The 14,466-nt window shown below is 47.9% G+C and overlaps 1 protein-coding gene across 8 annotated transcripts in view; it reads right to left on the bottom strand.

The window, feature by feature from the left end:
• The window catches only part of NWD1 (NACHT and WD repeat domain containing 1), a 98,117-nt gene extending 94,053 nt beyond the window's left edge, over positions 1–4,064 (bottom strand). For 5 of the 8 annotated variants that reach the window (XM_011527929.2, XM_024451466.2, NM_001290355.3 and 2 more), the window contains exons 1-2: positions 3,618–4,064; positions 2,294–2,516 (exon numbers count right to left, since the gene is read on the bottom strand). The gene's annotated coding sequence lies outside the window, so the exon portion shown is untranslated. The remainder of the gene's footprint in view (positions 1–2,293; positions 2,517–3,617) is intronic. The other 3 variants (XM_011527931.3, NM_001007525.5, XM_011527930.3) reach the window with 2 other exon arrangements.

Raw genomic sequence — 14,466 nt, 5'->3', positions numbered from 1 at the left:
CAGCGCGGCCAACATGGTGAAACCCCGTCTCTACTAAAAATACAAAAATTAGCCGGGCATGACGGTGCACGTCTGTAATCCCAGCTACGTGGGGGGCTCAGACACGAGAATCGCTTGAACCAAGGAGGTAGAGGTTGCAGTGAGCTGAGATCACACCACACCCAGCCTTGGCAACAGAGGGACAGTCCATCTCAAAACAAAACAAAACAAAACAAAACAAAACAAAACAAAACAGAAAAAGCTGTAAAATAGGTACTCATAGGTTATGATGAATGGATATAAATTAAAATCAGCCAAGGGGCCAGGCACAGTGGCTCATGCCTGTAATCTCGGCACTTTGAGAGGCTGAGGTGGGGATTGCTTGAGCCCAGGAGTTCAAGACCAGCCTGGGCAACACAGGGAGACAGTGTCTCTACAAAATAAAAAAATTATCCAGGGCCAGACTTGGTGGCTCACGCCTGTAATCCCAGCACTTTGGGAGTCCAAGGGTTCAAGACCAGCCTGGGCAACATGGTGAAACCCCATTTCTACAAAAAATTTAAAAATTAGCCAGATGTGGTGGTGCACACCTGTAGTCCCAGCTATTCACAAGGCTGAGGTGAGAGGACCACTTGAGCCTGGGAGGCAGAAGTTGCAGTGAGCCAAGATCGCAACACTGTACCCCAGCCTGGACAACAGAGCGAGACCCTATCTCAACAACAGCAAAAAAATCAGCTGGACATGGTGATTCGTGTCTGCGGTCCTAGCTACTTGGGAGGCTGAGATGGGAGAATCACTTGAGCGCAGGAGGTTGAGGCTGCAGTGAGCCACCACTGGGCAACAGAGAGAGACTCTGCCTCAAAAAATAAAATAAGATCAGGCACAGGAAGAGGCATCCAAGGCAGGGTCCAGAAGAGACCAGGTGTGAGATTTCAGTCGTCCCCTCCCAGTGAAGTTGTATGGCCAGCACTTAAATCTCCCAGCAGTGATGTGTGACAACATGAACAGTTTGCCACCAACTAGGAAAGCTCTCCTGAGCCTTGGTGTCCGGGGTTTTTATTGGGAGTTGGTCACGTAGACATGATTGACCACCAGCATAGCTGACCTTAATCCCCAGCCCCTCCAGAGGTCAACCAATATCACGTGACTTAAAGCTCCCTCTCTAAGTCATGTTGTTAGTATCTAGTGTGAGCCAAGGCTCTCCAGGTAAACAAAGACACCCTTATCCCATTCCAAGGGCTTAGAGGTCACTTCCCAGGAGCAGGTCAAGAGCTACAGCTTTAATGTGTGGGGTATGGACAACTCAGGCCTGCTGAGTTAATTCTTTTTTAAGAGTGAGGGTCGGCCAGGCACAGTGGCTCACATCTGTAATCCCAGCACTTTGGGAGGCCAAGGTGGGCGGATCGCCTGAGGTCAGGAGTTTGAGACCAGCCTGGCCAACATGGAGAAACCCCGCCTCTACTAAAAATACAAAATTAGCTGGGCGTGATGGTTCATGCCTGTAATCCCAGCTACTCAGGGAGGCTGAGGCAGGAGAATTGTTTGAACCCAGGAAACGGACATTGCAGTGAGCTGAGATCGCACCATTGCACTCCATCCTGGGTGACAGAGCAAGACCGTCTCAAAAAAAAAAAAAGTCAAGTCTTGCTCTGTCGCCCAGGCTGGAGTGCAGTGGCACTATTGTGGCTCACTGCAGCCTCCATCTCCTGTCCTCAAGTGATCCTCCCACCTCAGCCTCCTGAGTAGCTGGGATTAACAGGCACACACCACCATGCCTAGCTAGTTTTTTAGTTGTTGTTGTTGTTGTTGTTTTTTTCAAGAGACAGGGTCTCACTCCATTGCCCAGATTAGAGTGCAGTGACATGATCATAGCTCACTGCAGCCTTGAACTCCTGGACTCAAACCATCCTCCTGCCTCGGCGTCTCAAGTAGCTGGAACTATAGGCATGTGCCACCATGCTAGGCTTAAGTTTTTTATTTTTTGTAGGGACGGGAGTCTCACTGTGTTGCTCAGGCTGTTCTTGAACTCTTGGCCTCAAGCCATCCTCCTGCCTCAGCCTCCCAAAGTGCTGGGATTAGAGGCATGAGCCACCACGGGCAGCCAGAGTTAATTATTTTCTCAGCAGTAAAGGCCCAGTAAATAGAGTTGAGCGTCACCATTCAACAGATGAGAAAACTGCAGCTTAGAGTGAGAACTTTCTCACCAGCTAGAAGGGCAGAGTCAGGGAGCGAGTGCGGGTCAGACCCCCTCTCCTCCACGGACCCCGCCCCCATAAACCCAGCCCGGCCCCCCAGCCACCTTCCCACAACTCACCTGGATACCACAGTTTAGCTGCAGCCTGCTGATCTCACTGAGGCCCCAGTTCTGGGTCCCAGCATCTCTCCAGACCTCTCTTAGCACCTCCTCCCCAATCTTCTGATCTTGAATTTGCCTCCACCACAATTTCTGTTCCTTCTCTCGTTTTCCTGGGTCCCAGCAGGCTCCTTGGACCCGAATTCACTTCAGCGCCTGGCCACGCTCCCTTGGTTACTGCCTGCTGATGATCGCAGGAGGATAAGAGTCTTTGACCTTGCCTTTCACCTCTAGGCTTTTTCCTAGTCTCTCTCCCAGACTTCCTCCATCTCAGTATGACAAACATTTGAGGCCAGATCATCCTCTGTGGTGGCAATTGTCCCATGCATTTTAGGATGTTGCAAAGCATTTCCGGCCCCCACCCACTAGATTTCAACAGCACACCCCCACCACCACCACCAAAGTCGTCACAATTAAAAAGTATCCCTAGGCTGGGTGCAGTGGCTCACACCTCTAATCCCAGCACTTTGAGAGGCCAAAACAGGCAGATTACTTGAGGCCAGGAGTTCGAGACCAGCCTGGCCAACATGGCGAAACCCCATCTCTACTAAAAATACAAAAATTAGCTGGCGCGGTGGCATGTACCTGTAATCCCAGCTACTCGGAAGCCTGAGGCAGGAGAATCGCTTGAACCCGGGAAGCAGAGGTTGCAGTGAGCCGAGATCGTGCCACTGCGCTCCAGCCTGGGCAACAGAGCAAGGCTCCATCTCAAAAAGAAAAAGTCTCGGCCAGGTGCGGTGGCTCACGCCTGTAATCCCAGCACTTTGGGAAGCCGAGGAGGGCAGATCATGAGGTCAGGAGATCGAGACCATCCTGGCTAACACGGTGAAACCCCGTCTCTACTAAAAATACAAAAAATTAGCCGGGCATGTGGCGGACACCTGTAGTCCCAGCTACTCAGGAGGCTGAGGCAGGAGAATGGTGTGAACCTGGGAGGCAGAGCTTGCAGTAACTGAGATCACGCCACTGCACTCCAGCCTAGTGACAGAGCGAGACTCCGTCTCAAAAAAAAAAAAGTCTCCCTAGACATTGCAATGTCCCCTAGGGGGCAGAATTCCCCTTACTCGAGAACCCCCTAGTCTAATGCATTTAGCTTATTTCAACCTCAGGGCCTTTGCACGTCCTGTACTTTAGTGCTCTATGCTGCATCTGTTCATGTTGTTCACATTTTAGCTTCAATGCTACCTCCTCCTGAGAGGCTGTCTCTGACCATCCCATTGCGTAGTGACCCCTTAAGTCACTCCCAATGCCATCGCCTTATTTTAATTTTCTGCATGGTACTCACCAACAGCTGATATGTTTCTACATGTTATTGTTTGTCTGTCCCACGAGAAAGTGAATTCCATGAGCCCAAGGATCTTGTCTGGTAAGGCTGGCGTGCCTGGCACATAGTAGGTGCTCAGTAAATTATCATCACAACAGCTTCCTCCACAACTGTTTCTCTTTCTGGACTTCTGTTTGTTGCTGAAGAAGACAGCTGAGCAGGACTGGGCTTCCCCAGTAAGGACAGAGGCCCTTTGCAGTGTCAGCGTTCTGGCTGTCCTGGGGGCTCCAGCCTCTCTTTAGCCTTTGCTGGTAGTTGAACGACCAATTTAGACTCCTCTGGGGAAATAGGTTAGAGAGGACAGTTTCCTGGCCTCGGCGCCACCCGGAAGACAAGCCCCTGGCTATCCTAGTAACTTTCGTCTTAGGTATTTTATGGGTCTCTCCTTGCCCAATTCTCCCAGCAACTGGGATAATGAAAGCGATTGTTTGCACTAGGGCACCAGCTTAGCCGGGCATTCAGCCCAGACTTAGTGGTTAACTATTGTGTGCCAGGCTGATACGGCTCCTCGTAAAAGATGCCATTTGCTGACAGTCTAGGAGGTGCAGTTGGTTGGCATTTGGCATTAGCAGTCCACATTATTACCCCAAGAGACAGACATTATGATCCTGTTTCACAGATGAAGAAAACAAGATGCAGAAAGGTGAAGTCCCTTGCCTGTGACGCTTCACTACTCTGCACTTGAATTTTCTCACTAACTTCCTGTGTTGGTGAGACAATGAAAAGCATTTATATAGAGAGTGAGACTAACACTACACCTACATCACAGGAAGGGCCCGTGAGATGTTAGCCATGATTAATTACCATTAAAACTCCAAGACCGGGCACGGTGGCTCATGCCTGTAATCCCAGCACTTTGGGAGGCCGAGGCAGGCGGATCACCTGAGGTCAGGCATTCAAGACCAGACTGGCCAATATGGTGAGACCCCTATCTCTACTAAAAATAGAAAAATTAGCTGGGCGTGGTGACGCATGCCTGTAATCCCAGCTACTTGGGAGGCTGAGGCACAAGAATTGTTTGAACCTGGGAGTTGGAGGTTGCAATGAGCCGAGATCCTGCCACTGCACTGCAGCCTGGGCGACAGAGCAAGACTTTGTCTCAAAAACTCACAAATCACCCGGGCATGGTGGCTCACGCTAGTAATCCCAGCACTTTGGGAGGCCAAGGCAGGCAGATCACGAGGTCAGGAGATCAAGACCATCCTGGCTAACACGGTGAAACCCCGTCTCTACAAAAAAAACAAAACAAAACAAAACAAAAAATTAGCTGGGCGTGGTGGTTTGCACCTGTAGTCCCAGCTACTCAGGAAGCTGAGGCAGGAGAATGGCATGAACCCGGGAGGTGGAGCTTGCAGTGAGCCGAGATCGCACCACTGCACTCCAGCCTGGGTGACAGAGCGAGACTTTGTCTCAAAAACTCACAAGTCACCCAGGCATGGTGGCTCACGCCAGTAATCCCAGCACTTTGGGAGGCCAAGGCAGGCAGATCACGAGGTCAGGAGATCAAGACCATCCTGGCTAACATGGTGAAACCCTGTCTCTACATAAAAAACAAAAAACAAAAAACAAAAAATTAGCTGGGCGTGGTGGTTTGCACCTGTAGTCCCAGCTACTCAGGAAGCTGAGGCAGGAGAATGGCATGAACCTGGGAGGTGGAGCTTGCAGTGAGCCGAGATTGCGCCACTGCACTCCAGCCTGGGCGACAGAGCAAGCCTCCATCTCAAAGAAAAAGTAATAATAATAGTGTTACTATATTTTCAGGGATAGAAGTTTCAGATACTTGGTCAGGCGCGGTGGCTCATGCCTGTAATCCCAGCACTTTGGGAGGCCGAGGTGGGCAAATCACCTGAGGTCAGGAATTTGAGACCAGCTTGGCCAATATGGTGAGACCCCATCTCTACTAAAAACAAAAATTAGCCAGGCATGGTGGCAGGTGCCTGTAATCCCAGCTACTTGGGAGGCTGAGGCAGGAGGATCACTTAAACCTGGGAGGCAGAGGTTGCAGTGAGCAGAGATTACGCCATTGCACTCCAGCCTGGACGACAGAGCCACACTACACTCCATCTCACAAAAAAAAAAAAAAAAGAAGTTTCAGGTGCTGCCAGGCACAGTGGCATGCTCCTGTAGTCCCAGCTACTGGGGAAGCCAAGGTGGGAGGATCACTCAAGGCCAGGAGTTCAAGACCAGCCTGGGCAACATAGTGAGACCCTCATCTCTACAACAACAACAATAACAAAAAATTAGCTGGGCGTGGTGGTGTGTGCCTGTAGTCCCAACTACTCGGGAGGTTGAGGTGGGAGGATTACTTGAGCCCAGAAAGTCAAGGCTGCAGTGAGATATGATTGCCTCACTGCACTCTAGCCTGGGCAACAGAGCAAAACCCTGTCTCTTTAAAACAAAAAAAGAAAAAGAAAAGAAAAGAAGTTTTAGGGGCTGAAATTTTAGGAAACATACTGTCTCCAATACTCCAAGCAATCTGGGGGCTTCAATTTACTATCCCAGTTCATTGATGATGAAAACAGGCTTCCAGACCAACGTGATGAAACCCTGTCTCTACTAAAAATACAAAAATTAGCTGGGCGTGGTGGTGAGCACCTGTAATCCCAGCTACTCGAGAGGCTGAGGCAGGAGAATCGCATGAACCCGGAAGGCGGAGGTTGCAGTGAGCCGAGATCACGCCATTGCACTCCAGCCTGGGTGACAAAGTGAGACTGCGTTTAAAAAAAAAAAGAAGAAGAAAGAAAATAGGCTTCAAAGAAGTTAAACAATTTCCCAAGTTTCCTTGGCAAGGAAGTGAGCTAACAGCCAAATTCGGATATGATTCCAAAACTCCACAGTTATTGGCTAAACTGGAATCTACAGATATTAAAAAATTATTGGCAAAGTTTTTGCAGTGTGACAATGGTATTGCGGTGAGGTTTTTGTTTTTATTTTTGTTTTTGTTTTCGAGACAGTTTTGCTCTTGTCATCCAGGCTGGAGTGCAATGGCATGATCTTGGCTTACTGCAACCTCCGCCTCCCACGTTCAAGCAATTCTCCTGTCTCACCCTCCCGAGTAGCTGGGATTAGAGGCACCTGCCACCACACCTGGCTAATATTTTGTATTTTTAGTAGAGACGGGGTTTCACCATGTTGTCCAGGCTGGTCTGGAACTCCTGACCTCAGGTGATGCACCCGCCTCGGCCTCCCAAAGTGCTGGGATTACAGGCATGAGCCACCATGCCCAGACTGGTTAGGCTTTTAAAGAGTCTGGGCCAGGTGCAGTGCCTCATGCCTGTTATCCCAGCAGTTTGGGAGGCCAAGGCAGGAGGATCACTTAAGCTCAGGAGTTCAAGACCAGACTGGCCAACATATTGAGACTCCATTTTTACAAAAAATTAAAAAATTAACTAGACATGGTGCATGTGCCAGTGGTCCCTGCTACTCTGAGGTGGAAGGATCACTTGAACCTGGGAAGTTGAGGCTGCAATGAGTCGTGATCACGCCACTGTGCTCCAGCTTGGGCAACAGAGTGAGACCCTGTCTCAAAAAAAAAAAAAAAAGAGTGTGTATGTTTTAGAGACATATAACAAAATATTTATGGAATGATAAGATAGCTGAGATTTGCTTCAAAATAATACCTGACAGGAAGGCAAATGGGATGGGGGCGGGGTTGGCGAGGTTGAGTAGGGGGTGATGGTGGTTAGGGTGGGCTGCGGTTCATTATACTATTCTGCCTACTTTAGTGAGTGTTTTAAATTCCCTATCAGAATATGCTTCAATTTTGTACTCTTAAAAAATAGTGGCTGGGGCCGGGCACACTCCCAGCACTTTGGGAGGCCCAGGCGGGATGATCACTTGAGGCCCAGAGTTTGAGACCAGCCTGGCCAACATGGTGAAATCCCATCTCTACTAAAAATACAAAAAAAAAAAAAAATTAGCCAGGCGTGGTGGTGCATGCCTGTAATCCCAGCTACTTGGGAGGCAGAAGCAGGAGAATTGCTCGAACCCAGGAGGCGGAAGTTGCAGTGAGCTGAGATCACACCACTGCACTCCAGCCTGGGGGACAGAGCAAGACTGTCTCAAAAAAAAAAAAAAATAGTGGCTGGGAATGTTGGCTGACGCCTGTAATCCCAGCATTTTGGGAGGCTGAGGCAGGTGGATTGCTTGAGCCCAGGAGTTCGAGACCAGCCTGGACAATATAGTGAGATCCCATATCTACAAAAAATAAAAATTCACCAGACTTGGTGGTGCATGCCTGTAGTCCCAGCTACTGGGCAGGCTGAGGTGGGAGGATCACTTGAGCCCAAGAGGTTGAGGCTGCAGTGAGCTATGACTGCACCACTGCACTCCAGCCTGGGTGACAGAGCAAGACCCTGTTTTAAAAAAAAAAAAAAAAATCGTGATTATCCTTATGCATTGAGTAACCACGAGCCCAGGGCTAGGGGATTTCTGTGTAGTCAACCTTAGAACCAACACAGGGGTTAGGAGTGCCAAGCTCACCCCTACAGTCAAAAATCTGCATGTAACTTTTGACTGCATGTAACACCTACTATTGACCAAAAGCCTTATTGATGACATAAATGGTCGATGAACACTGATTTTCTACATTCTATGTATTATATACTGTATTCTTGCAATAAGTAAGCTAGAGAAAAGCAAATGTCACTAAAAAAATTCTGGTGTTTTGTTTTTGTTTTGTTTTTTGTTTGTTTGTTTCATTATTTGAGATGGAGTCTCACTCTGTTGCCCAGGCTGGAGTGCAGTGGCATGACCTCAACTCACTGCAACCTCTGCCTCCTGGGTTCAAGCGATTCTCCTGCCTCAGCCTCTGAGTAGCTGGGATTACAGGCGCCCACCACCACGCCTGGCTAATTTTTGTATTTTTAGTAGAGGCAGGGTTTTGCCATGTTGGCTAGGCTGGTCTTGAACTCCTGGCCTCAGGTGATCCACCCGTCTTGGCCTCTAAAGTGCTGGGATTACAGGAGTGAGCCACTGTGCCCGTCCAAACTTCAAAGGAAGAGAAAACATATTTACTATGGATGAAGTGGAAGTGGATCATCACAAAAGTGTTCATCCTTGTCGTCTTCACCTTGAGCAGGCTAAGGAGAAGGAGAAGGAGGAAGAACAGAAGGAGGGCTTGGTCTTGCTGTCTCAGGGGTGGCAGGGGTGGAAAAAAATCCACGCCTGAGTACATCCGTACAGTTCAAACTCGTGTTGTTCAAGGGTCAACTGCACTTCCTTCGTCATCCCTGCGTGGCTAACATTATAATACCCACTTTGCAGAAGAGGAATCTAAGCTGGAAGATGTTAACAAACCCAATTAAACTGACTAAGGAGTCCTGGCTGAGCATGAGTGGGGAAGCAGCGCCCCCTCGAGGCCATCACGCGAATGACCAGAAGCAGCTTGAACCCAGGGCAGAGTCAGAGGAGAGGCTGCGGAGAGGCGCTGGACAGGGAGCAACATTGGGGGAGAGCGGTAAAAAGAGAAAAAAGCAACAAAGATAAAGAATATTTTTTCCAATTTTTTTATTGTGTCCAAATAATACATAATATTTAAATACTTTTTTTTTTTTTTTTGAGACGGAGTTTGGCTCTTGTTGCCCAGGCTGGAGTGCAATGGCGCAATCTGGGCTCACTGCAAACTCCGCCTCCCGGGTTCAAGCGATGCTCCTGCGTCAGCTTCCCGAGTAGCTGGTATTATGGGCACCCGCCACCACACCTGGCTAATTTTGTTTTTTTTTGTTGTTGTTTGTTTGTTTTTTGTTTTTTTTTATAGTAGAGACGGGGTTTCACCATGTTGCTCAGGCTGGTCTCGAACTCCTGACTTGAAGTGATCCACCCGCCTCAGCCTCCCAAAGTGCTGGGATTACAGGCATGATCCACCACACTCGGCCTTAAATACATTTTTTTAAATTATTACTATTTTTAGAGACAGGGTCTCACTCTGTCACCCAGGCTGGAGTGCAGTAGCATAGCCTTGTTCACTGCAACCTTGAACTCTTGGGCTCAAGCAACCTTCCCACCTCAGCCTCCAGAGTAGTTAGGACTGCAGGTGCACGCCACCTGCCTGGCTAATTTTTTTATTTTTTTTATTTTTATTTTTTTTTTTCGTAGAGATGGGGATCTCGATATGTTGTCCAGGCTGGTCTTGAACTCCTGGCCTTAAGCGATCTTCCTACCCCGGCCTCCCAAAGTGCTGGGACTACAGGCGTGAGCCACTGCACCTAGTGATTATTTTAAAAAATTAAAATTACTGGGCCGGGCACGGTGGCTCACGCCTGTAATCCCAGCACTTTGGGAGGCCAAGGCGGGGAGATCATGAGGCCAGCAGATTGAGACCATCCTGGCTAACAAGGCGAAACCCCATCTGTACTAAAAATACAAAAAAAAAAAAAAATTAGCCAGGTGTGGTGGCAGGCACCTGTAGTTCCAGCTACTCAGGAGGCTGAGGCAGGAGAATGACGTGAACCTGGAAGGCAGAGCTTGCAGTGAGCCAAGATCATGTCACTGGACTCCAGCCTGGGCGACAGAGCGAGACTGCGTCTCAAAGAAAAAAAAATTAAAATTAATGCAGAAACTACACAATGAATAAAATATCAAGATTTATTTATTTATTTTAATTTTTTTGACACAGGCTCTCCTTCTGTCACCCATGCTTGACTGCAGCAGCGTGAACACAGCTCACTGCTTCCTGGGGTCAAGTGATCCTCCTGCCTCAGCCTCCATACTAGCTGGCACTACAGGTGCACACCACCACACCTGACTAATTTTTAAATTTTTTGAGGAGGTGGGATCTCACTATGTTGTCCACGCTGGTCTGGAACTCCTGGCCTGAAGGGATCCTCCCACCTCAGCTTCCCAAAGTTCTGGGATTACGGGCATGAGCCACTCAGTCTGGTCTATTTGTTAATTTACTTATTTAGAGACCAGGTCTCCCTCCATCACCAGGCTGCAGTTTAATGGCACAATTACAGTTCACTGCAGCCTCGAACTTCTTGGCTCAAGTGATCCTCCTACCTCAGCCTCTCAAGTAGCCAGGATAGGCACGAGCCACTACACTCAGCCCTAAGACAGGTATTTTTTTATACTTAATTTATTATTGTGGCTTTTTGCAACATGGCAAAACATTACAGCTTAAAGCAGACATCATCTCCTTATAGAGGAGGAAAAAGTTTTGCAGTCAAATCAAATTGTAATTAAGAGGTCATTGCTATACCATTCTATTCAGTTTAATAAAAATGATATTATAACTTCATGAACTCCAGAGATAATAGGTTACTTAATAACATAGGCAAAAAACCAGAGGATACACTGGTTGAATAATAAAGGACATGGTAAGGAATATAGGTCCATCTATGCCTATGATAATAAACATAAAAGACTGCAGAACAATTTAAGAACTTAGAATAATCACAGATCTATTCATAAAAGTTCAAAATGTGCCTGATTACCGAAAAGGAATTATTAAGGTATGCAGTGAAGGGAATGGAGCAGGGCTGGGCGCGGTGGCTCATGCCTGAAATCCCAGCACTTTGGGAGGCAGAGGTGGGTGGATCACCTGAGGTCAGGAGTTCGAGAACAGCCTGACCAACACGGTGAAACCCTGTCTCTACTAAAACTACAAAAATTAGCCGGGTGTATTGGCATGCACCTGTAATCTCAGCTACTCAGGAGGCTGAGGCACGAGAATCGCTTGAGCCTGGGAGGCAGAGGTTTCAGTGAGTCGAGATCACACCACTGCACTCCAGCCTGGGTGACAGACCGAGACTCCAGCTTAAAAAAAAAAAAAAAAAAAGGAAATGAAAATGAAGCGGAATAAAATATAAAATGTCTTTTTATTTCTCTCTGATTTCAACTTCCTTTTTATCTGTATGTTGTATAGGGAGAAGATGTGCCTCAGTATTGAAGATCCAATGCTCCAGTGGAAGAAGATTGTCATCAGAAAATATCAGGTACAGGCCGGGTGTGGTGGCTCACGCTTGTAATCCCAGCACTTTGGGAGGCTGAGGCGAGTGGATCATGAGGTCAGGAGTTCAAGACCAGCCTGGCCAACATAGTGAAACCCCGTCTCTACTAAAAATACAAAAAATTAGCTGGGCGCAGTGGCGGGCGCCTATAATCCTAGCTACTCAGGAGGCTGAGACAGGAGAATTGCTTGAACCTGGGAGGTGGAGGTTGCAGCGAGCCGAGATCGTGCCACTGCACACCTGCCTGGGCGACAGTGCAAGACTCTGTCTCAAAAAAAAAAAAAAGAAAAGAAAAAAGAAAGAAAGAAAACATTGGGAACAAATACAACAGGAGGTCTCACTTTTGCACAGTGAGCCATATTCTTCTTGGGATCACAGACTACATGAGACCCTCAATAAAAGCTTTGGACCTCCTCCTACCAAATAACACGTGCACACAATTTTGCCTACACTCTTACAGGATGCACGGAACCTCTAATTCCGGTCCTTGGATTTTCTAGCAGCCAATGATGCCCAAGCTAAGAGGCCTCAAGTCAGCCAAATACTCTGAGATTCAACCATGTAAGAAACTAAGTATCAGCTGGGCGCGGTGGCTCACGTCTGTAATCCCAGCACTTTGAGAGGCTGCAGCAGGCAGATCACCTGAGGTCAGGAGTTCGAGACCAGCCTGGCCAACATGATGAAACCCTGTCTCTACTAAAAATACAAAAAACTAGCCGGGTGCAGTGGCTCACGCCTGTAATCCCAGCACTTTGGTAGGCCAAGGTAGGCGGATCACGAGGTCGAGAGATTGAGACCATCCTGGCCAACATGGTGAAACCCTGTCTCTACTAAAAATACAAAACTTAGCTGGGCGTGGTGGTGCACACCTGTAGTCCCAGCTACTCAGGAGGCTGAGACAGGGGAATTGCTTGAATCTGTGAGGCAGAGGTTGCAGTGAGCCAAGATTTGCCTGTAATCACAGATACTTGGGAGGCTGAGGCAGGAGAATCACTTGAAACCTGGAGGCAGAGGTTGCAGTGAGCCAAGATCACGCCACTGCACTCCAGCCTGGGCAACAGAACAAGACTCTGTCTCAAAAAAAGGAAAGGAAGGGAAGAGAAGGGGAGGGGAAGGGAGGGGAGGGGAGGGAAAGGGAGAAAGAGAAGGAAGGAAGGAAAAAGAAAAATAGAGAAAGAAAGAGAGAGAGAAAGAAAGAAAAAGAAAGAAAGAAAGAAGGAAAGAAAGAAAGAAAAAAGAAAGAAAGAAAGAAAAAGAAAGGAAGAAAGAAGGAAAGAAAGAAAAAAGAAAGAAAGAAAGAAAGAAAGAAAAGAGAATAACACCTAATTGGCTTCTCCTTGACTCTGGGCTGGACTTAGTGACTTGAATAAAGCAATGTGATGGTGTTTGACTCAGACCAGATCAGAAATGGTACTAGGTCTTCTTTGCTTTCTTGGATTGCTTGCTCTGGGGAAGTTAGGTGTCATGTCATGATAAAATTCAAGCAGCTTGTGCAAAAGCCCATGTGGTAAGGAACTGAGACCTCCAGCCAAACGCCAGCTAAGGGTGACGTTTTGGAAGTGGATCCTCCAGCCCCAGTCAAGTCTTCAGATAGTTGCAGCCCTGGCTGACATTTTTTTTTTTTTTTTTTTTTTTGAGACAGTTTCTCTGTATCATCCAGGCTGGAGTGCAATGGTGCAATCTCGGCTCACTGCAATCTCCGCCTCCCAGGTTCAAGTGATTCCCCTGCCTTGGCCTCCCAAGTACCTGGGATTACAGATGCACACCACCACACCCGGCTAATTTATATATTTTTAGTAGAGATGAGGTTTCACCATGTTGGCCAGGCTAGTCTTGAACTCCTAACTTCAGGTGACCCGCCTGCCTTAGCCTCCCAAAGTGCTGGGATTACAGGCATGAGCCACTGCGCCTGGCTCTGGCTGACATCTGATGGTAACCTCAGGAGAGATCCCGAGCCTAAACCACCCAGCTAAGCTCCTGAATTTCTCTCACACGAAAACCATGAGATAATAAATATTTGTTAAGTGGCTAAGTTTTGGTGAACACCTGTTACACAGCAATAGATAACTTGTAAATGGCTGAGGTGTGATTTGGACTCAGGTAGTCTGGTTCCAGAACCCAACATCCCAGCATCAATCATAATATCAAAAATTAGAAATTTTGGGGCTTGGCGTGGTGGCTCACGCCTGTGAGCGGGGAAGCAGGCAGGAGGATCATCTAAGGCCAGGAGTTCGAGACCAGCCTGGCCAACATGGTGAAACCCCGTCTCTACTAAAAAAATACAAAAAATTAGCTGGGTGTGGTGGCACGTGCCTGTAATCCCAGCTACTCAGGAGGTTGAGGCAGGAGAATTGCTTGAACCTGGGAGGCAGAGGTTGCAGTGAGCCGAGATCACGCCACTGCACTCCAGCCTGGGCAACAAGAGTGAAACTCCATCTCAAAAAACAAAAGAAAGAAAGAAAGAAAGTTTGTAAATGTTACTGGGCACAGTAGCTCACACCTGTAATCCCAGCACTTTGGGAGGCCAAGGTGGGTGGATCACCTGAGGTCAGGAGTTCCAGACCAGCCTGGCCAACGTGGTGCAACCCCATCGCTACTAAAAATACAAAAAATTTAGCCAGGCGTGGTGGTGGACACCTGTGATCCCAGCTACTTAGAACGCTGAGGCAGGAGAATCCCTTAAGCCTGGGAGGTGGAGGTTGCAGTGAACTGAGATCACACCACTGCACTTCCGCCTGGGTGACAGAGCTAGACTCCATCTAAAAAAGAAAAGAAAAGAAATTTTGTAAATTTCTGAAATGTAAATTTCAGAAATTTAGTAATAATATAAATAAATGACATCAATAGGAGATTGGATAAAT

This window comes from Homo sapiens, chromosome 19, assembly GCF_000001405.40.
Source record: "Homo sapiens chromosome 19, GRCh38.p14 Primary Assembly".
Lineage (NCBI taxonomy): Eukaryota > Metazoa > Chordata > Mammalia > Primates > Hominidae > Homo > Homo sapiens.
Note: the sequence above shows the minus strand (reverse complement) of the source record. Positions and strands in the feature narration are given on the sequence as shown.